The following is a 22,020-nucleotide window of genomic DNA, read 5'->3' on the forward strand; positions in this document are numbered from 1 at the left end:
CAATTAAGTAAGAGTGTGACCTATTACCACTGACATAAAAACAGCTCAAAGGCCATGTACTATTTACTATTCATAGGAGTCCCGTGGCATACATTGGTTTTCAAAAGACAGCAGGTGACATTCATCAGCAGACTTTCTGTGTCCCTCTGCTCACACTTACAGCACAATTTTAGAGTCTCAGGTTAAGGCTGTTTTTCCTTAACAATACTCAATTTTCTTCTGAATCACTGAGAAAATCTAAGTCTACCGTGGGGTCATCCTCAGTAGACTGGAAATGGGGAAGAGAATGTGAGCTTCTTTTGTTTTTATATCCTCCTGTCCATAATTAGGCAATATTTTTAAAAGAGAAAAACAAAAACGTTCCAAGCACAATAACCTTGATGCCGTTCTGTAATCCAGAGTGGCATACTGGCAAACTGGGTTATTATTTTTTTTTAATTTCAGATAACCTTCTCTCAATTGTCAAGGGTATATTCAGCAAATCAAATCGACTTCCCTCAGCATCATAAATCCCATTTGTATCCTAGTAGAAACACACATTTCCTGAGAAAGGGAGCTGGGTCTTAAAAAAGGAAGTTGAAGTTTTTAAGCTGGAGATAAGGCATTTCAAAAGGGAAGAAACTTTTGGCAGGACTCGAGTGCATCCTGCACTAATGGAAATTGGAAACCCATCCTTCATTTCATGAACATTACTATACAAAATGTAAAACATATTGGTACCACAGCAACCAACTCTGCATAATGTACTTGCAGCTTCAAATGGCAACCCTGGGGGAGATAAAAGTTGATTTTTTTTTTTTGCTATCATGAAATGTTGGAATTTCTTAATTCCACAGATATTAGCAAGTGTATATTTCATGCCAGGAAATGTTCTTGGCTCCAAGGATATAGCAGTGAACACAATTAGGTTGCTGGCTTCATGGAGTTATATTTGGAGGTGGGAAATTTTAAAAATTACTGTATAATATAGCAGATTAGAATATATAGGGATGGTATAATATATATTATGGTATATTAGTATATATATTTATCATTATTACATGTGTCACATATAGAAACATAGTATATAATACCATATTATGCAATATAACAAAATATGTCAGGTAGATATAGATCATATCAGATGCTAGTAAATTTTAGAAAGCAGAGAAAAGGGGATAGATGAGTGTTGCATTTCTGAATAATATGTTTTGGGAAGTTCTCATGGATAGGCTGGGACACCTAACTAGAGAACTGAAGGAAGTGAGGGGGTGATACATGTAGAATATCTAGAAAAAGACCATTCTAGGCAAAAGGACCAGCAAGTGCAAAAGCTCCAAGGAAGGGGAGCACTTGATCCATTTGAGGAACAACAGCAAGAAAACCAGCATGGGTGGAGCAGAGTGAGCCGAGCAGGAGAGCGGGGAGGGTGGAGATGAGGTCAGAGAAGCAGCCTGGGGTTAGAAGAACAGCAGCGCAGATCCTGTGGCATTTTCTGGCAGAGTAAGGACTTTTTATGGGGGGGCCAGGGTGGAAGCCGGGAGGCTGATCAGGAGGCTATTGAAACAGTTCAACGTTTCTCTGCATCTGTCCCAGACCGTTCCCTTCCCATCTTGCTTTCTCTCCCAGACCACTGCTGGCTTTTTTTTTTTTTTTTTTTTTTTTAGATGGAGTCCCACTCTGTTGCCCAGGTTGGAGTGCAGTGGAGCAATCTCGCCTCACTGCAACTTCTGCCTCCCAGGTTCAAGCGACTGATTCTCCTGCCTCAGCCTCCCAAGTAGCTGGGACTACAGGCGCATGCCACGACACCTAATTTTTGTTTTTTTGTTTTTTGTTTTTTTTGAGATGGAGTTTCGCTCTTGTAGCCCAGGCTGGATTGCAATGGCACGATCTCGGCTCACTGCAACCTCCGCCTCCCGGGTTCAAGCGATTCTCCTGCCTCAGCCTCCCGAGTAACTGGGATTACAGGCTTGCGCCACCATGCCCAGCTAATTTTTGTATTTTTAGTAGGGACGGGGTTTCACCATGTTGGCCAGGCTAGCCTCGAACTCCTGACCTCAGGCGATCCACCCGCCTCAGCCTCCCAAAGTGTAATTTTTGTATTTTCAATAGAGACAAGGTTTCACTATGTTGGCCAGACTGGTCTTGAACTCCTGACCTCGGACGATCCGCCCACCTCAGCCTCCCAAAGTGCTGGGATTACAGGCGTGAGCCACCTGCCCGGCCATGGAGCCTCTTGCTCCTATGTCTCTTCTGACCTCCAGCCTTACTCACCCATCCATCCAGTTCATCTACACATGGATGGCTCAGTATGTTCAAGTGTGCCCGCCTTCCTCCATGCCCCTCTGGCTCCTCTAGGATCCCACCTTTCAGCAAATGGCACCACCACTTAGTTGCTTAAGACTTCTCTTGGGAGTGTCCCTCCTTTAACACCTCACATCCAGGGACTCACATCCAGAGTCCTGTTGCCGCAGACGCATTTCATTTCCTTTCATGATAACACAGAGGAGTAGAAGGGGCCAAAGGCATAGGAGGAAAACAAGAAAATACAGTGTCACCGGAACCAGGGGAAGTGTGTTGATAAAAGCAGTGGTTAGCATGTACTTCTCACTGTAGCAGACACTATGCTCACCACTTCCCACAAACTATGTCATTTAGACCTCGCTACAATCTGAGGAGGAAGGTGCTACGCCCATTTTGCAAATAATTTAGAGAAGTAAATTTCCCAAGGTCACAGTGTGTACTAAATCCCCTAAGAGAAATAAATTGAGTCTGAAAAACTCAAGTCCACTGAACTGAGTCATGTGGAGACCACCGGTGACCTTAACAAAAACCTGGCCAGTGTCCAGCCGGAAGAAGAGTGAGAAACAAGAGGGAGATGAGAAAATAAGGACAGGAAGTTAGCCAACTCTCTCCAGGGTTGGCCTGCAAAGCAGACAAGGAGGAAGATAAGGCTATAGTTGAAGGGAGGGCAGAGGGGCTGGGCACGGTGGCTCACGCCTGTAATCCCAACACTTTGGGAGGCTGAGGTGGGTGGATAACTTGAGGCCAGGAGTTCCAGACCAGCCTGGCCCACATGGCGAAAGCTTGTCTCAAAAATAAAAACTAAAAAAGAGAGTGCTGGGGGAGTGTCTAGGGAAGGTTTTATTTTAGGTGACAACAAAGTAATTTAAATTTCTAAAACTCAACCCCTTTGCAGAGTGTGGGTTAGCATGTCTATGTGAGCAATCAGCACAGAGAAGGTATTTGTTTTCTCTGCTTCCTGCTCCAAGGAAATTCAGATTTTGCTTATGAGTTTGGTTTAAAAAATCATTGGCTATGCATAAAATTTGCGTCCCATATCCTAGAAGATGGGAAAAGCTATAGAACAGAAGGTGTATAACTGGGTCAACAAAATAAACAAAAAGAGGATCTACTCTGGTTTTCTTGGGAAGCTGAAAAATCAGTGCTTTAGAAAAAACCAGTCAAGCCAGACTATTCTGTCACAATGTGGTGGAGAAACCCCAACACTGAACCCAAAAGCAGATGACCTAGTGGGCTGCTCTTTCCGGCCAGCCACTGTCTAGCTTTGTCATCTTGTATAAGTCACTCAATTCAGGGTCAGCATCCTCTGTGGATCAAGGAGCTAATATTTATTATGCCACACTTGGTTCTGGGCAGAATCAAACAACTGAATCAGCCAGAAGATTGACAGAGGATGCATGATTTCAAACAACTGAAATCAGCCAGTAAAAACGCTTTATACAAATGCAAGGTATTCCCAATATCTATCATAATTGAAGGTAAGCATTAAAAGATACTTATGGGCTAGGTACAATGGCTCACACCTGTAATCCCAGCACTTTGGGAGGCCGAGGCAGATCGCCTGAGCCCAGGAGTTCGATACCAGCCTGGGCAACATGGTGAAACCCCATCTCTACAAAATATACAAAAACTAGCCAGGCATGGTGGTGTGCACCTGTAGTCCCAGCTGCTCGGGAGACTGGGGTGGGGGGATCACCTGAGCCTGGGAGGTTGAGGCTGCAGTGAGCCGTGATGGCACCCCTACACTCCAGCCTGGGCAACAGGGGAGACTCTGTCTCAAAAAAAGAAAGAAGATATTGTACACAGTCTGGAAGCAAGCTGTTTGGATACATGTACATTCACCAACTGATTCAAGATTTTTAAAAAATTCAGTGATAGCTTAACAATGCCAGATATATAACAACAAACACCTGCATATTTACTTTTCATTACAGCTGGTGCTGTTGAAGCTGATTTCCAGTGAATCAGGTTAAGCCAGGCCTAAACTTGTGGCCATGACTGGTCTGTGAAAATGCTCAAAGTGTGACATACTTTCAGTTTGCTCTGGATCTCACAGCATACCAATTCAGTACACAGGTCCTGCCACAGAGGTGTTTCTGGCCTGTGATTTAATAAGCAAAGAAAAACCAGTACAGCCAGTCTAATTATTAGAGCAGCCAAGCTTTCAGACTCTCTTAAATACTTCCAACATCAGGCCTCCCTCAGGCAGGGCAAGATTACACATGACTCCAGCCCGGTACCAATTCCCTAACTGTCCATTTCCTATGGAGACATGGATATGGCCTTCTCTAATTAGAGGGACAAAGACAGAAGAGAACCATTATTAGGACTTTACTTTTTATCCCGTTTTAGTTCTAAAACATTCAAGTCCTGCCCTTCACTGATCACTATTACAAATATTAAAATGGGGGTAGGAGTGGTGGATTAAGTGCCACAGAGACCGAATGCATCAATTGTTTCACTTATGGAACATTCTGGGCTCTGAGAACCTCGGAGTAGGAGTGAATCAATCGTACATCCAAGCAGATAACAGCTCAAATCACCAGCTCAGCACAATTCTTCTGGGCACCCTCTTCTCTATCTGCAAAAAGAGACTGGCTTTCCTTCCTCCTCTTGCCCTCCCTCCTGCCCCCACCCCACCCCCGCCGCGCCCTAGGCCTGGAGTCTAGGGCTGCCCAATGACAGGAACACCCAAATCAGCACTGTCTTCTGGGCTGCGTTGGCTTCTGTGGTTGTAGCTAGGAATGGCCAGCAGGGCGGGGGTTGGGTGGGGTGGGATGGGGGCCGTGGGGGTGGCTGCACAAGGAATCATACACCTTTGGTAATACACTTACCGTTTACAAAAAGTTGAGAGTCCACATAACCAGGAATGTGTAATTCATGCAGCTTCCTAAAACTGCCAGGGAATTATTCTTGCCTCCAAGTCAGCCCTGGCTAGGATCGTAAGTATTATAAATGCAAAAAGAATAAAAAAAAGACAGTGCAATTCTTATTTAGTGGGTATTCAGCTCTCAAACCTGAGGGATGGACTAGGAGATTAACATGATGCTCACCAGCCTCTGAGACCTTCCACAAACGCCCTCTGACCAGTCTTTCCCACCTACCCTCCTGCACTCCCGCACCCTCTGCCCTGCAGTCATTCTGCCTCACTCACCGCGCCCTGCACGTGCCTTGCCTCTCCCTTTGTGCTTTTGCAGGTTATGGTTCCGCTGCTGCATAGAATAATCCCTCCTCTCTCACAGAAATTCCTCCCATCTGGGCCCAGATCAAATGCTCCTCCTCAAAGAAGACTTCTCTGATTGCTAGGAGCAGTATCTCCTTCTTCTTGCCACAAATAATATTTTGTTTACAGCAATAATAAGAGCTACTTATTGAACACATACTATGGGATGGGAATCCTATGAAGCACTTGATACATTTTATTTCATTTAATCCTACTACTATTCCTAGTTATAGGTGAGAAAGCCATGATTGAGAAAGGTTAAGTACTATCTCTAAAAGGGCAGTGGCGACACTGGACTTGGTCAGGCAGTTGGACACCAGAGCTCCCACACTCTACTACACGTTGCCTTATACTGTAATGATTTGTGCAAGGGTCCCATCTGCTCTGTGAATTTCTGAGGTCATATATCTTCAGATATCCCATTATATGAACTCATGGCTTGGCCTAAGTGGTCACTGGAATTGGAGCAAAAGTGCACTTAGAGACAGGTTGCTATGGCTGATTCTTCCAGGTATGCTATTTTATCTTTAACCCAGCTCTGACCTTTAGGATGGGTCAAGAGCAGCAACTAAAATGGCCTCACAAAGTCAAGGATCCAAGACCCAGGAAGCAGGAGAAATCTGACCCCTGGAATGCTCTGGAAGCACTGAGGGGCCCCACAGGATATGGGCACCATTGTGTCCTAATTTGGATAACAGGTACCTGAGACATACAAGCCTGTCTCTGTGCATATCAGCTAGATCTCTTAGAATGGTGAGTCCCGGAGCCAGGGGCAGGGTAGCTTTCTTTTCCAGTATATAATAAATGCACACTTGTTGCAGTCAATGTTTCTTCAGACTCGGTTTTCAGTCTCCCAGAGAATAATAAATTCTTGTTGAGAGGATAAGACAGCATGGCTCAAAGGTTAAAAGCAAATGGGCTCAATGTTAAACAGAATCAGTCTGAATGAGTCCAACTTTGCCCCAGTATTTGTGATCTAGGACACGATACTTAATGTCTGTACTTCAGTGTCCTCGTCTGATAATAGAGATAATATCACCACCCATTCATTCATAAGGTGACTAGGAGGACAGAGTGAGATAATGCATGTAAAGTGCTCACTATACTCCACTCAAAAACGGTTAGCTCTTATTATTTAACAATTGCTCTTTTCACTAATGCTAATTATTGTTGTTGGTTAGTCAATTTATAGCTAATGAGAGTACATTTTCCATCTGAAAAATTCTTTACTAAAATTCACTGGTTAGTGTTACTCTTTTCTGCTCTACAGAGCTAGCAGTGAATATAGAGATCAACAATTCTGAACATAAAGAATGAGAAGATATGCCAGGCATGGTGGCTCACACCTATAATCCCAGCACTTTGGGAGGCTGAGGTGGGCGGATTGCCTGAGGTCAGGAGTTCAAGACCAGCCTGACCAACATGGTGAAACCCTAAGTCTCTACTAAACCCTTAGTCTCTACTAAAAATACAAAAATCAGCTGCGCATGGTGGCAGGCACCTGTAATCCCAGCTACTTGGGAGGCTGAGACAGGAGAATCACTTGAACCCAGGAGGCAGAGGTTGCAGTGAGCCGAGATGCCGAGATTGTGCCACTGTACTCCAGCCTGGGCAACAAGAGCGAAAATCCATCTCAAAAAAAAAAAAAAGAAAGAAAGAATGAGAAGATATATAGTGATATGGTTTGGCTGTGTCCCCACCCAAATCTCCTCTTAAATTCCTATGTGCTGTGGGAGGGACCTGTGGGAGATAACTGAATCATGGGGGCAGGTCTTTCCCATGCTGTGCTTGTGATAGTAAATCTCACGAGATTTGATGATTATTACAAGGGGGAGTTTTCCTGCACAAGCTCTTTCTTCCTGCTGCCCTCTCTGTAAGATGTGACTTGCTCCTCCCTGTCTTCCGCCATGATTGTGAGGCCTCCCCAGCCATGTGGAACTATAAGTCCAATTAAACCTCTTTGTTTTGTAAATTGCCCAGTCTCGGGTATGTCTTTATCAGCAGCATGAAAACAGACTAATATATATAGCCTGGGCAACATGGTGAGACTCTGTCTCTACAAAATATAAATAGCCAGGTGTGGTGGTGCATGTCTGTGGTCCCAGCTACTTGAGAGGCTGAAGTGGGAGGATCGCTTGAACCCTGGATGTCAAGGCTGCAGTGAGCCATGTCTGCACCACTGCACTCCAACCTGGGTGACAGAGTAAGACCATGTCTCAAAAAAAAAAAAAAAAAGATATAAACATTAGAGGTACCACCTAACAATTAAAGCTGTTCAAAATATGGTGGCCTCTGAGAAAAATGAGCTGCCCCCTTTCCCTACCCAGCAGAAACTGCCTCCTATGGCCATTACATTTGGTTCAATTTAAGACCCTGATATGGTGGGGATTTGTGTCCCTGCCCAAATCTCATGTCATCCCCAGTGTTGGAAGAGGGGCCTGGTGGGAGGTGATAGGATCATGGGGGCAGTTTCTTGTGAATGGTTTAGCACCATCTTCCTGGTGCTGTTCTCATGAGAGAGAGTGAGTTATTACTAGAGCTGGTTGTTTACAAGTGTGGAGCACTGCCCCCTCTCTCAATCCTGCTCCTACCATGTACGATGCCTGCTCCTGCTTTGCCTTTCGCCAGGAATGAATGCTCCCTGAGACCTCCCCAAAAGCAGATGTCGCTATGCTTCCTGTACAGCCTGCAGAACTGTGAGCCAACTAAACCTCTTGTCTTGATAAATTACCCAGTTTCAGGTATTTCTTTATAGCAGTGCAAGAATGAATTAATACAGAACCCAATGGTCTTACTTCTTCTAATATCCTATTTTGCCCCAGCCACTTATGGTGATGATTCTCAAACTTTGGTGGACGTAAGAGTCACTTAGTGTGTTTAACAAATACAGATTCTTGTGTCTATTTGGGATTATGATTTAATTTTATTTACTTTTTAGAGACAGGGTCTTACTCTGCTGCTCAGACTGGTGTGCCAAGGCCTGATCATAGCTGACTGCAACTTGAACTCCTGGGCTCAAACGACCCTCCAGCCTTCCCTCTTAAGTAGCTGGGACCACCGGTGTAAGCCCAACTGGGATTATGATTTAATAAAGAACATCCCAGGTGGTTTCTGATACCAGTGGTCCTGTGAACCAATTCTCAAAAACAGGGTCAGTAACTGACAACTTAGAAATATTTTTCCGTGTAGGCTGGGCGCCGTGGCTCACACCTGTAATCCCAAGCACTTTGGGAGGTCAAGGCAGGAAGAACGCTTGAGGCCAGGAGTTCAAGACCAGCCTGGCCAACATGGTGAAATCTCGTCTCTACTAAAAATACAAAAATTAGCTGGCTGTGGTAGCATGTGCCTGCAGTCCTAGCTACTCAGGAGGCTAAGGCTTAAGAATCGCTTGAACCCGGGAGGCAGAGGTCACAGTGAGCCGAGGTCGTGCCACTGCACTCCAGCCTGGGTGACAAAGTGAGACTCCATCTCACAGAAAAAAGAAAGAAAGAAAGAAAGAGAAAAAAGAAATATTTATCCGTGTAAATTTATTTCCTGTAACAGAAAAAGATGGAAAAACTTTTAATTCTCCAAATCTGGGTCTGCATTTTTTGAAAATAATGTTCCCTGAAGCCTAATCCTTGGATTCGATAATAATGAGTTTGTCTATTAGTTATCACTTATTCTGGTGAGTAATTTCTAAAGTCTCGTTTTACTTCCTTTTTTTTTTTTTTTTGAGGCAGAGTCTTGCTTTGTCGCCCAGGCTGGAGTGCAGTGGTGTGATCTCGGCTCACTGCACACTCCACCTTCTGGGTTCACACCATTCTCCTGCCTCAGCCTTGAGTGGCTGGGACTACAGGCGCCCACCACCACGCCCGGCTAAATTTTTGTATTTTTAGTAGAGACGGGGTTTCACCGTGTTAGCCAGGATGGTCTCGATCTCCTGACCTCCTGATCTGCCCACCTTGGCCTCCCAAAGTGCTGGGATTACAGGCGTGAGCCACTGCACCCGGCTAGTCTCATTTTACTTCTCATTGCTGATGAAGCACCAGTTACTTTATTGTTTCTTCCCAAGGCTGTGTACTGGTAATAATTTTCTTTAAGAGAGGCCAGAATCTTGACATGGTCCTGATTCTGGGGCCAGGAAGCCTCAGTTTTGCTTTATTACAAGCTCTGAGGCTTCTTTTCAAATGGCTACAGTCAGGCTGACATTGGCAATGATGAATATGATGCAGAAACAGCTGCAGTCTCTGAAGCAGAAGGTGCTCACAAACCTGCTTTCTAAAATTCACTAATATCTGATATGACACACATCCATCCCTCAAGGGTCTAGAATACAGGATGTCAGGAGAGAATGAGGTTGTAAATATAGAATCTGCTCCAGCACTGGCCAGTCTGAACATTTCTTTCCCTTGGCTCCAGCATAGCATTAAAGACCAATAAAACCACAGACTCTAAAGGCAGAGACTTCCTGAGTTTCAAATCCCCAGCTCCAATACTTACTACTGTGTGAACCTGAGCAAGTTACTTAACTTCTGTGTGCCTCAAGTTTTAAGTTTTTCATCTATAAAGTGCTGTAGGGGGAAAAATATATTTTCTTCTATCCATCTTAGGTGTCTTGGCTAGTGCTCCTGTAATAAAAGCCAAATTAATAAGAGAGAAGCACACAAATTTATTTAATATGTTTTACATGACACAGCAGCCTTCATAAAGAGAGGAAACCATAGAGAAGCAATTAAACCTGAGTGTTTTTCATAGTAGGTTGATGAAGAGGATGGTGGTGGAGAAATATGATAGGGCAAAGGGTGCAAGGTGAGTGCAGTGACCTGGAGGAACTTAGCAAGGCCTGTTTGGATTCTTCTCTGTGTCCCATCGTCTTCAGAGATAAGGATGCTCCTTCCCTTTGAATATAGGGAAAGCAACTCTCACATGAGTGTTTCATGACCCTCTTCAAGGGAAGCTCAGAAAATCTGTCCTAGATTTTATGATGTGCTTCAGAAGGGAAGGGTAGAGGAAAGGTCAGAGAGACCTTCCTGTGTCTGCATTTTCTCATATTCCTTCAGATTAAAATATGCAGTATGCCAAACTGCCATATATTGGGGTAGTGTGTTCTGAACCCCATCAATGGGATGTTACAAGAATAGAATTGGCACATAGTGCTATGTGAGCATTTATTAGTATAGGATGGTCATATGGCCCAAGCTATCCATGACACTTCATTCCGGTACTTTTGCTGAATGAGATGCTTCTGCTGGAGTTGATAAATCGGTAAATATTTAAGCTGAGAACTGCCAGGGGCCACCTGTGGAGAAAGCCTTCCTGAGAGTGAAGCTACTGCAGAGGAACGAGGGCTGAGAGGTGGAGACAGTGTAGGATTTAATGCGAATGCTTAAGACCTGGGTCCAGTCATGCCTGGATATCTAGTGTGGACTTTTCAGTGACACGGGCTGTGAACTTTCTTTTCTCACTTGAGTTGGCTTGGGTTGGTTTCTATTGTCAGAGGCATTTGAACCAGAGCGACTCCATCTTGAATAGGGGCTGGGTAAAATGAGGCTGAGACCTGCTGGGCTGCATTCCCAGGAGGTTAGGAATTCTAAGTCACAGGATGAGATAGGAGGTCGGCACAATTTACAGGTCACACAGACCCGGCTGATAAGAGGTTGTGGTAAAGAAGCCGGCCAAAATTCACCAAAACCAAGAAGGCCATGAAAGTGACCTCTGGTTGTCCTCACTGTTCATTATACACTAATTATAATGCATCAGCATGCTAAAGACACTCCTACCAGTGCCATGAGTTTACAGATGCCATGGAATGTTAGCAAGTTACTCTATATGGCCTAAATGGGGAGGAACCCTCAGTTCCTGAAACTGCTCACCCCTTTCCTGGAAAATTCATGAATAATCCACCCCTTGTTTAGCATATAATCAAAAAATAACTATACATATACTCAGTGGAACAGCCCATGCCACTGCTCTGCCTATGGAGTAGCCATTCTTTTATTCCTTTTCTTTCTGATAAACTTGGTTTCACTCCATGGACTTACCCCAAATTCTTTCTTGCACAAGGTCCAAGAATCCTCTCTTGGGGGTCTGGATTGGGACCCCTTTCCAGTAACATTATCACCTTCCAACAAAAGAATTCTGACCTAGCTTTATTGAGATATAATTCGCATACCATCCAGTTCACCTATTTAAAATGTACAATGCAGTGGTTTTTACCACATTCACAGAGCTGTGCAACCATCACCACAATTGTTGGATTGTTGATCTAAAGATCCTCAGAGATGGCTCAGTAGGCCTGGGATGTGGAATGTGGACAGGCATGTGTGATTCTGCTTCCAAAGTCACCACGATTTTGTTTTGTTTCGTTTTTGAGACAGGGTCTCATTCTGTTTTCCAAGCTAGAGTGCAGTGGCTCACTGCAGCCTCGACCTCCTGGGCTCAGGTGATCCTCCTACCTCAGCCTCCTGAAAAACTGGGACTACAAGCACACACCACCACGCCATTTTTTTTTTTTTTTTTTTTTTTTTGGTAGAGATGGGATTTTGCCATGTTGCCCAGGTTGGTCTCAAACTCCTGAGCTCAGGGGATCCTCCCATCTTGGCCGCCCAAACTGCTGCGATTACAGGCATGAGCCACTGTGCCTGGTTTCACAATTTTGAAACTACCTTTTTTTTCTTTGAAACTGAGTATCGCTCTGTCGCCCAGGCTGGAGTGCAATGGCGCGATCTTGGCTCACTGCAACCTCTGCCTCCCAGGTTCAAGTGGTTTTCCTGCCTCAGCCTCCCGAGTAGTTGGGATTACAGGCGCACACCACCATGCCTGGCTAATTTTTGTATTTTTAGTAGAAACAGGGTTTCACCATATTGGCCAGGCTGGCCTTGAACTCCTGACCTCGTGATCCACCTGCCTTGGCCTTCCAAAGTGCTGGGATTACAGCCATGAGCCACCACAACTAATTTTAAAGTTAGAATTATCAACTTTTTGATTTGGAAGTAATGAAAGTTCAGCAGAGTATAATGGAAAAGGAAATAAAATAAGAGTTAGCACTCCTGCTTTCTTTAAAGAGACATTAGAAAATCCCTACAGTCCCTTTATACTCTCAATAACTCGACCAGGCACAGTGGCTCACAGCATTAATCCCAGCACTTTGGGAGGCCAAGGCAGGTGGATCACAAGGTAGGGCGTTCTAGACCAGCCTGACCAACATGGTGAAACCCCGTGTCTACTAAAAATACAAATTAGCCGGGGGTGGTGTCGCATGCCTGTAATCCCAGCTACTCGGGAGGCTGAAGCAGGAGAATCGCTTGAACCTGGGAGGCAGAGGTTGCGGTGAGCTGAGATCGCGCCATTGCACTCCAGCCTGGGCAACAAGAGCAAAACTCTGCCTCAAACAAACAAACAAAACAGAACAAAAAACCTCTATAGTTTTCATCAACTTATCTAATATTTCAGATGACAAAACTGAGGGCCAGTGAGGGTAACTAAACCGCCAATAAAACTGAAGGCCAGTGAGGTTAAGTAAATTGCCAGAGCTCACAGAGGTACTCACTTTTAGACACATTCAAGAATTCAGTTCAGTTTTCTATGTTGTTAGTTTCAAGTAGTTCTTACTTTTTCTGCAGGATTTCATACTCAAGACTCAGGTCAGTCTCTTGAAATGCCTGGAGATTAAGAGGGTCTTTGTAGTACTAATCAAACATTCATTCAATTCTGTTTTGACTCATTCAAGAAATACACTGTGATTATGATATTCCCTATATTTATGTTAAATTCATTGCATCTGTCTCTTTAGATAAAATAGTGTTCTACTTACAACCTAGAGAAAAATCAATATACTTGCCCTAAAGCAGGATGTAATAGGAAATTTCAAAAATATTCTATGGTATTTACTGGGTTAGGTAAATAATAAATTGGCAAGTTTCCACAAACATTTACGAAATAGTCTTAGTTTGTAGGACCAGGAGGTTTAATTACCATGTAGTGCTGCTGGGGATAAGGAAGGATGATGGTTAGGAGAGTAACTGCACTCTTTGTCTAATAAAAATAAAGAGATTTGATAACCAAACTGGAAATATAGAATAATTTGACTTCTAATAGCCCTTGAAGCTTCAGATAACTTCTCAAAAACATGAAAAACAACCCTTTAGCTATTGCTAATTACAAATCTGTGTATCTGGGCACATAAGGACTCTCTATACCGGCTTTGGAAATTTTTAGAAACACATTTCCTGGAAGAACCTGAGAGGTTGGATCTGGCCAAAAAAATATAATACAGTCTGTGGCAGGATGCATTGTACTTAACCATATTCAAGGACAGAAAGGCATTTGCTTTATCTGGGATATCCTGTGAAAACACATTAAGAACACCCAGGGAAACATCGTCAGCAGGGATATTATTTGTGGTCATCGTTGTTTTTAACGTGTGTTTTTTCCTTAGTAAATCCTAGACAAAGTAATTTGAACCTTGTAAAAGAGTACTGCAGGCCAACCTGGGCAACATAGCAAGATTACGTCTCTAAATACAAAATAAATAAATAAATTACAAGCAAGAGGCGGTAGAATTTTTAAACTGAGTTCATTGGTGAGGATCTTGGATGGAGTTCAAGGGAAAACAGTGAAAAGGAGATGAAACACTGTCCCTAATCCCACCGTCTTGATAGAACTACTCTGAGAACTTTGGTGCCTTTTTTGTGTTACTTTTCTTCTAAGTATTCCTTGTATATACTTGTAACTGGGAAGTGACAAAGTTCTAAGAGATCCTGGCAAGAACTGCCACCCCCAACTCATCACCACAACACTATCCTTCCCTTCCCCACTCCCTTCCAACACACATACATTCTCAGCCTTCAAAACCAACAAGATCAATCCCATCATGATTTGTTTTTAAAACTTTTTTTAGAGTCAGAGTCTTGGTATGTTGCCCAGGCTGGTTTCAAACTCCTGGGCTCAAACGATCCTCCTCCTCTAGCCTCCCAGTTGCTGGGATTACAGGCATTTTAAATTCACGACCAGAAACTAGGACTGCCAATTGGCAATCCTACCACATTCCCTGGTCGATTTACTCTGCCGCGCTGCTAGATGGTTAATTCATACTCCTCTTTCCTCAAACTTCCGACACCTCTCCTCCTCCTCCATCTTCACTCTTGGCTCATGATCTTGTTTTCTACTTCTCTGAAAAGTAATTGAAGCAATCAGGAGAGAATTTCCACACATTCCCTCTACCACATCTATTCCCACCTGCTCCTGTGCCCATATATACTCTGCCTCCCTCCTGCTGCCATGGATGAACTGTCTGTGACCCTGAGGCCAACCCCTTTCCTCATCTTTCGCAGTCCGAGCCCCCTTCCCTACTTAGGAGCCCTGCACCAGCAATTCTGCCCTCTTTCCTGCATTGTCATATTTCTCTCTCCATGCATCACTTCCAATAGCATACAAACACGCTGGTATTCCCCTACCCTTAAATATCCCTCTCTTGACCCCGTTAACCTCTGTCAAAACTAAGTCAAATCTGGTCATTCCTGTTTGAAACCCCCTAATGGCTCTCGTCTCACTTAGAGAAAAGTCAAAATCCTACAAGACCCTATATAGTCAGAGCCCATCTACTTACTACTCCACCACCTGTGTTCCCTGTTCCTAGAACACACACCGGGCCTCCTCCTTGCTCAAGGCCTTCGTATCTGCTGTTTCCTGAAAGGCTCTCTGAGTATCTGAATGTTCATTCCCTCACTTCACATCTTCACTCAAATGCCATCTTTTCAGAGAGGCTTTCTTTGGCCTCCCTACACAAAATAACCACCACACTCCCTCATATTACCCATCTCTCTTCCCTGCTTTATTTTTCTTCTTAGCACTTCACGCTTTCTAACCTACCATACCAACCTTACTTGTTAGGTTTATTGACTGTTCCCCCCATTTGAATATAAGCCCCATGACAGCAAAAAAAAATTTTTGTCTGTTGTGTTTGCTGCCAAACATATTCTCTAGCTAGCACTGCAGTGCCTGGTACATAGGAGGTGCTCAATAAAAGACACAGACATAATGTAGGTCATCTTAAAGTTTGCACAGTCATGCTCATTTATGATTCTTCTGCAGCCTCTGCTTAGAGTTCTCTGAATCAAACCCATGGACCTCGTCTTACCATGGTCTACTGTGTACATGTCTTTTTGTCTTTCAAATAAAATCTGACTGTAGAACGAGAAAAGCGAAGGACCTGGAGTGCCTTCAGCAATGCACTGAGTCTCTTTCCTCGCTTTCATTTTGGTTTCTACTAAGTTTGGTATGGAGAGAGGAAGCATTTGTGTCTATCTTGGAGAGAGAGCAGAGAAGATCTTGCAGGGGGTTTCAGCATGAGTATTTGGCAACAGAAAGGATGATTCAGAGCTTGAACGTGAAACTCATACAGAGGCTTAGGGGAAAAAAAATAGGAGCTAGAAAGAGAAGGGAGAATCAGTCCTATCGCCTGAGAATATGGTTCTCTGGATCAGAAAGACACTGTGGCCCAAAGCAGATTCCAAAGATGAAAGGAGAAGCGGCATTCCACACCAGGAATAAATGTTTTAGCCTTGGTTAAAAGTAAACATAAAAGCAAATCACCACAGGATTAAGATTTCAAAACAATAAGGAGGCAGTGAGCTCTAGAGTCAGAAAGACCTCGCTCTAAGTCCAGCTTCCACCACCTCGGAGCGCTGGGACGCAGTTCTCAGGGTTGCAGAGGATTTCAATGCAAGCCTGGAGCACTGTCTGGCAAACGGTGGGGCCTCAAGGGATGTTAGTTCCTTCCCCCGCTACAGCCTCCACTGCATCCCCACAGCCCCGCACCACGTAAGACACATAGCAGATGCTCAAGAAATACTAGTTTGATGAACGGATGGGTAACACAAGAGGAATCAGTTCCCAAATCAAGCTGCTTCTGCCCTCACACCAGACTTCATAGAATTCACTTGCTTTTTTATCACTTTCCTGCATCCCCTTGCCCTCTGCCTCACCCACTCCCAAAACCATCTTCACGTTTGTTGTTTGTGTTCCCACTCCACAATGGAGCCGGCGTCAGCTACGTCAATCCTCGAGCTGCCAAACGTTCATTTCCATTTAAAAACATCGTGTTTTAGCAGAGAAACGTGGACTAGGGAGGCACGGTGCAGACACCAGCCTCCATCTATTACTCCAGGCTGACAGATTTTTTTTAGCAGAGTCTTGTTTTTCTCCTCTGAAGGAAAGCTTGTTTCCATAGAAGGATTTCCCCTCTTTGTGTTCTTGCTTCATTCACAGTTTTAGTGTTTACTTTTGCTTTTTATCTTTGCATAATCCTTGCTGTTTTAAGAATCTGAGGAGACTCTGGACTATAGTCCCTCACCCTCCCCTGTAAATATCTCTGGTTCATGCCAATAGTGGCTGACACATTTCCCCAGTTTTCCTTCACATCTTTGTCGTGTGAAAAAATGCTGGTAAATCATGTGGACAAGCCTCAGATGACTTGGTATTTGTTCATGGGACATTTTTCAAATCCTTCTGCCAAGATTTTGTGCAATAATCAGTTTGTTTTAATGCAGTTCATGGAGAGAGGGTTCCAGTTCTGCACTGGCTGTGCAACCACCAACCTTTCTGTAAGTCCACCAAGGGTCTGGAGGCGGAGGGCCTCAATGCTTGGAAGGCCAGGAGGCCCACTGCTCAGGGAACAGGTGTGCTCATGGAAGTAAGTGGCTGGCCTCCAGGACTAGCTCATAAGCAATGGGGAAACTAGGGTTGGGAACTGTTTGGTGGAGCAGCAAAAAAAGTGATGCCATCGGGGCAACCCCAGCGTGAGTGAGGGCAGGGGACTCTTCTTGTCTTGTTCACAATGTCCCCAGCACCTACCTGTGTGCACAGCTCAGGACTGGTATTCTGTAAATATTTGTGGAATGAATAAATGAACAAATGAGGTAGAAAGACAGGGTACCACGAGAATCCTCTTGAATAAAATGGAGAGTTTTGAAAGGGATTAAATTGCTATTGTCATGTTTAATTTTACTGGAAAATATTTGTAATTCTACTGAAACACCAGGTTGGTGTGGTCTAGAGAAAAAAAATACTAGACACCATTTTTTTTCCATATAAGACAAACCAAAGCAAGGAACTTCATTTTTTAAAATTTATTATTTTTTTTTATTTTAAATGTTTTTTTTCTGGGTACATAGTAGGTGTATATATTTATGGGGTACATGAGATGCTTTGATACAGGCATGCAATGTGAAATAAACACATCATGGAGAATGGAGCATCCATCCCCTCAAGCATTTATCCTTTAAGTTACAAACAATCCAATCACATTCTTTAAGTTATTTTAAAAATATACAATTAAATTATTATCGACTATAGTCACCCTATTGTGCTATCAAATAGTAGGTCTCATTCCTTCTATTTTTTTTTGTATCCATTAACAATCCCAACCTCCCCGCCAACCCTCACTACCCTTCCCAGCCTCTGGTAACCATCCTGTTACTCTCTATGTCTATGAGTTCAATTGATTTGATTTTTCGATCCCACAAAATAGGGGACTTTAGGCAAAAAAATAATTGATGCCTAGTATGTGCCAAATATGGTGTAAATAGGAGGTGAGAAACCAAGATAACTTGTGTATATAATGCTATACACCTGGAGTTATTATGCAAACATACAGAGTTACAATAATTGAGCACTTGCTGCATGCCAGACACTATGTAATTCTTCTACTACCACTAAGATGTTGTACCATTATTATTTCCATGTTACAGATTTAGAAACTGAAGCTCTGAGACATTAAAAAAAAAAACAAAAAACCCAGCTCAATACAAGGTAACCTTGAAAATAATATGACACTCGAATTTTCCAGTGAAAAAATTACCCTCTTCCAGAGATTTTTGGCTAACCTGAATTAAAAAGCTTTTAGAAATGACAGCACAAAATCTCATACACATTGTTCAAAATAAGAAACCTACCAAGGTCACTGACTTAATTTTTCCTTTGGTCAAAAGAAGAAGAGACAGAAATAAGTTTCTGAATTTATTTCTCAGAGAACAGCTGTGCCCACTGATCAAACTTAATGTAATCTTTGGGAGTTACAGTTACCAATTTGAATAATGTTACCCCATGACAATTAATTAGCATGTAATGTTATTTCCATTGGAGACATTATTAAATTTTAGAAAGTCTAGATGTCTCCAAGTGGGCTTCTTAGAGATAACTCTGAAAGGATATTTAATGGTAACGAAACACAGGGTAGGATTTTACTGTGGGAATGTTTTCAGGCTTCCATTTTATCCAGCAGCTTTCCTCTGAATGGCTTTACTGTTTATCACTCAGTGTCATGCGCTCGCTCTCTCTCTCTCTGTGTGTGTGTATATATAATATATATTATATATATTATATATATTTATATATATATATATATATTTTTGATACTGAGTCTTGCTCTGTTGCCCAGGCTGGAGTGCAGTGGTGCGATCTTGGCTCACTGCAGCCTCCTCCTCCTGAGCTCAAGTGATCCTCCTGCCTCAGTCTCCCAAGTAGCTGGGACTACAGACGCATGCCACCACGCCCAGCTAATTTTTGTATTTTTGGTAGAGACAGGGTTTCGCCATGTTGCCCAGGCTAGTCTTGAACTCCTGAGCTTGGGTCATCCACCCACCTCGGCCTCCCAAAGTGCTGAGATTACAGGCGTGAGCCACTGCAGTCCCTATATTTACATCAACAGCCTCTCTTAGAGGCCTGGAGTTTCTCTATGATATGGTTTGGCTGTGTCCCCACCCAAATCTCATTTTTAATTATAGTTCCCGTAATTCCCACATGTTGTTAGAGGGACCTGGTGGGAGATCACTGAATCATAGGGGTGGTTTCCCCCATACTGTTCTCATGGTAGTGAGTAAGTCTCACGAGATCTGATGGTTTGATAAGAGGAAACCCCTTTGGCTTTGTTCTCATTCTCTCTCATCTGCTGCGATGTAAGATGTGCATTTCACCTCCCACCGTGATTGTGGGGCCTCCCCAGCCACATGGAACTGTGAGTCCATTAAACCTCTTTTTCTTTATAAATTACCCAGTCTCGGGTATGTCTTTATCAGCAGCATGAAAACGGACGAATACAACCAGCAATGCTAAAAAGGAAAAATACACTTTCAAGACCACAGGCAAGATTTTATTTGCTGGGTCTGAATCAGATACACAGACCCCAGACAAATCTAAGGCTAAGTGAAAGAATACGAGAAGAAACAGATTTTCAGGAAGGAATGTGAGACCTATAGCATTTTTCTTCCAGGGATGAAATCATGTGATAATCGGACATCTACTATCCATCAATTTCATTCAATAAACATATTTCAAATGTCTTTATCATGATTAGAGCCAGCCACTTTTAAGCCAACTAACCATTTTCTGAAGTCTTTGTCCTGTCTACTTTGTTTCCTCCATAGAAACACACATGAAAGCAAACACAGCCCCTTCCTCCACTACATTTGTTAAGTAGCCGCATATTATTTCAGAATTTATTACCAATTCTCTAAATTGAACATTGGGTTATTTCCAAATGCTCAATATTACAAAGGACATTGAAATGAACATCCTATGAAGAAACTTCTACACACGATCTTAATGATTTCCAAAGAATAGTTATGTCAAAAGTGTGCATGTGCCTAAGGTTTTCAATACACATTGCCAAACTCTCCAGAAAGATCACGTTATAGTTAAGGCAAACTTTTCACTACGTTTCCTGGTATTATCATTGCCACATTTGCCAAGATTTGGCTGTAACACTCAATAAATTTTTTTCAAAACCATTTTTATTATAGTGTATAAGAAGCAAAGTAGGTAAAGTACACAAGCTAAAGTATACAGTCTGATGAATTTTTACATAGGTATGCCTCTGTAACATCACTTGTATCAAAATACAGAATATTTCCAACACCCAGAATGTTTCATTATGACTCTTTCAAATCAATACTTCCCAGCCCCACCCTGGCATAAGGGATAATCTTTTTTTTTTTTTTTAACTTCCTTCCATAACCACTAACAAGTTTTACCTCTTCCTGAACTTCGTAAAAGTACTCTTTTAGTGTCTGGCTTATTTCACCCAACATGATATCTTTGAAATTCATCCATGTTCCTGCATGTTTCATTAGTTTATATTTTAATTAGTTCATTATTTATATTGCTATGAAGTATTTCCCTGTATAGGAAGCACCACATTTTATTGTATCCATTCCCCTCTTGATATCCACTTGGATTATTAATTAGTTTGGGGCTGTTAGGAATAAGGCCGATATGGACACTATTGTGCATGTCTTTTAGAAGACACATGTACATATTTCTCTTGGTTGTATACCTAGTAGTGGAACTGCTATTCTTGGGGTGGGTATACATTTAGCTTTAGTGGAAATTGCTGGTTTTTCAAAACGGCTGAACCAACTTAAATTCCCACCACAAATAATGTGTGAGAGTTTCAGGTATTTCACATAGTTACCAACATACTGCTTAAACCTTAAGGTACTTGGTAGATATATGACATGACAGTCCTTACGTGTTCAATTTTTACATCAGTAATTTATTCTAGAGTTTACCTGTAGTATACAGATTACAATAATGAGGGAGGAAGTTTAGTCAGTTGATTTAAGTGGATGATCCTAGGTAGAGAGGGTCCCAATTATCCTGGTCAGCATGTCTGAGACCGTCCAAAACAAGGGTGCCCCACTCCGGGGCCATGGACTGGCACCCGTGCATGGCCTGTTAGGAACTGGGCTGCATAGCAGGAGGTGAGTGGCAGGTGACCGAACAAGCGAGCGAGCAAGTGGAGCTTCATCTGTATTTACAGCTGCTCCCCATCACTCACATTACCACCTGAGCTCCGCCTCCCATCAGACCAGAGGCAGCATTAGATTCTCATAGGAGCATGAAACCTATATGAACTGTGCATGCGAGGGATCTAGGTTGGGCGCTCCTTACAAGAATGTAATGCCTGAGGATCTGTCACTGTCTCCCGTGCCCCCCGAGATGGGACTGTCTAGTTGCAGGGAAACAAACTCAGGGCTCCCACTGAATCTACATTATGTTGAGTTGTATAATTATTTCATTATATATTACAATGTAATAATAATAATAGAAATAAAATGCACAATAAATGTAATGCACTTTAATCATCCCCAAACTATCCCTTCCCCTCAACCCGCCCACTGTCTGAAAAATTATCTTCCATAAAACCAGTCCCTGGTGCCAAAAAGGTGGGGGACTGCTGATCTAAAGTGCAAAAATGTCAAAGAAAAATCCATATGACCTTTCAAGTCAAGTTATTCACCTCCAAGATGAACCTCTAAGATGTGACAGTCTATAATATGCCACAGAGTCAACAATCTAAAGAAAGATACAGGCACCTGTATCTCAAATCTAAGAGGGCCTATGTTACTCTGCACATTAAGACTTCTCATCTCCATGAGAAGTCTCAAAAATTGTTAAAAAGTCTATTAAAAATCATAATAAGGCCTATAAAACCTTTAGACTTTACCTAGTTGAGGCCTTACATGTCCCTGAGA

The 22,020-nt window shown here is 42.9% G+C and overlaps 4 annotated features.

Moving 5' to 3' along the window:
• Nucleotides 2,352-2,461: an enhancer, noted in NCBI's record as "active region_6791". NCBI's record gives its function as "activates an Ori minimal core promoter by ATAC-STARR-seq in GM12878 lymphoblastoid cells {active_cell/tissue: GM12878}" and the evidence as "EXISTENCE:reporter gene assay evidence [ECO:0000049][PMID:35858748]".
• Nucleotides 3,052-3,161: an enhancer, noted in NCBI's record as "active region_6792". NCBI's record gives its function as "activates an Ori minimal core promoter by ATAC-STARR-seq in GM12878 lymphoblastoid cells {active_cell/tissue: GM12878}" and the evidence as "EXISTENCE:reporter gene assay evidence [ECO:0000049][PMID:35858748]".
• Nucleotides 9,638-9,727: an enhancer, noted in NCBI's record as "active region_6793". NCBI's record gives its function as "activates an Ori minimal core promoter by ATAC-STARR-seq in GM12878 lymphoblastoid cells {active_cell/tissue: GM12878}" and the evidence as "EXISTENCE:reporter gene assay evidence [ECO:0000049][PMID:35858748]".
• Nucleotides 15,475-15,714: an enhancer, noted in NCBI's record as "active region_6794". NCBI's record gives its function as "activates an Ori minimal core promoter by ATAC-STARR-seq in GM12878 lymphoblastoid cells {active_cell/tissue: GM12878}" and the evidence as "EXISTENCE:reporter gene assay evidence [ECO:0000049][PMID:35858748]".

This window comes from Homo sapiens, chromosome 12 (assembly GCF_000001405.40).
Source record: "Homo sapiens chromosome 12, GRCh38.p14 Primary Assembly".
In the NCBI taxonomy this organism is placed as follows: domain Eukaryota; kingdom Metazoa; phylum Chordata; class Mammalia; order Primates; family Hominidae; genus Homo; species Homo sapiens.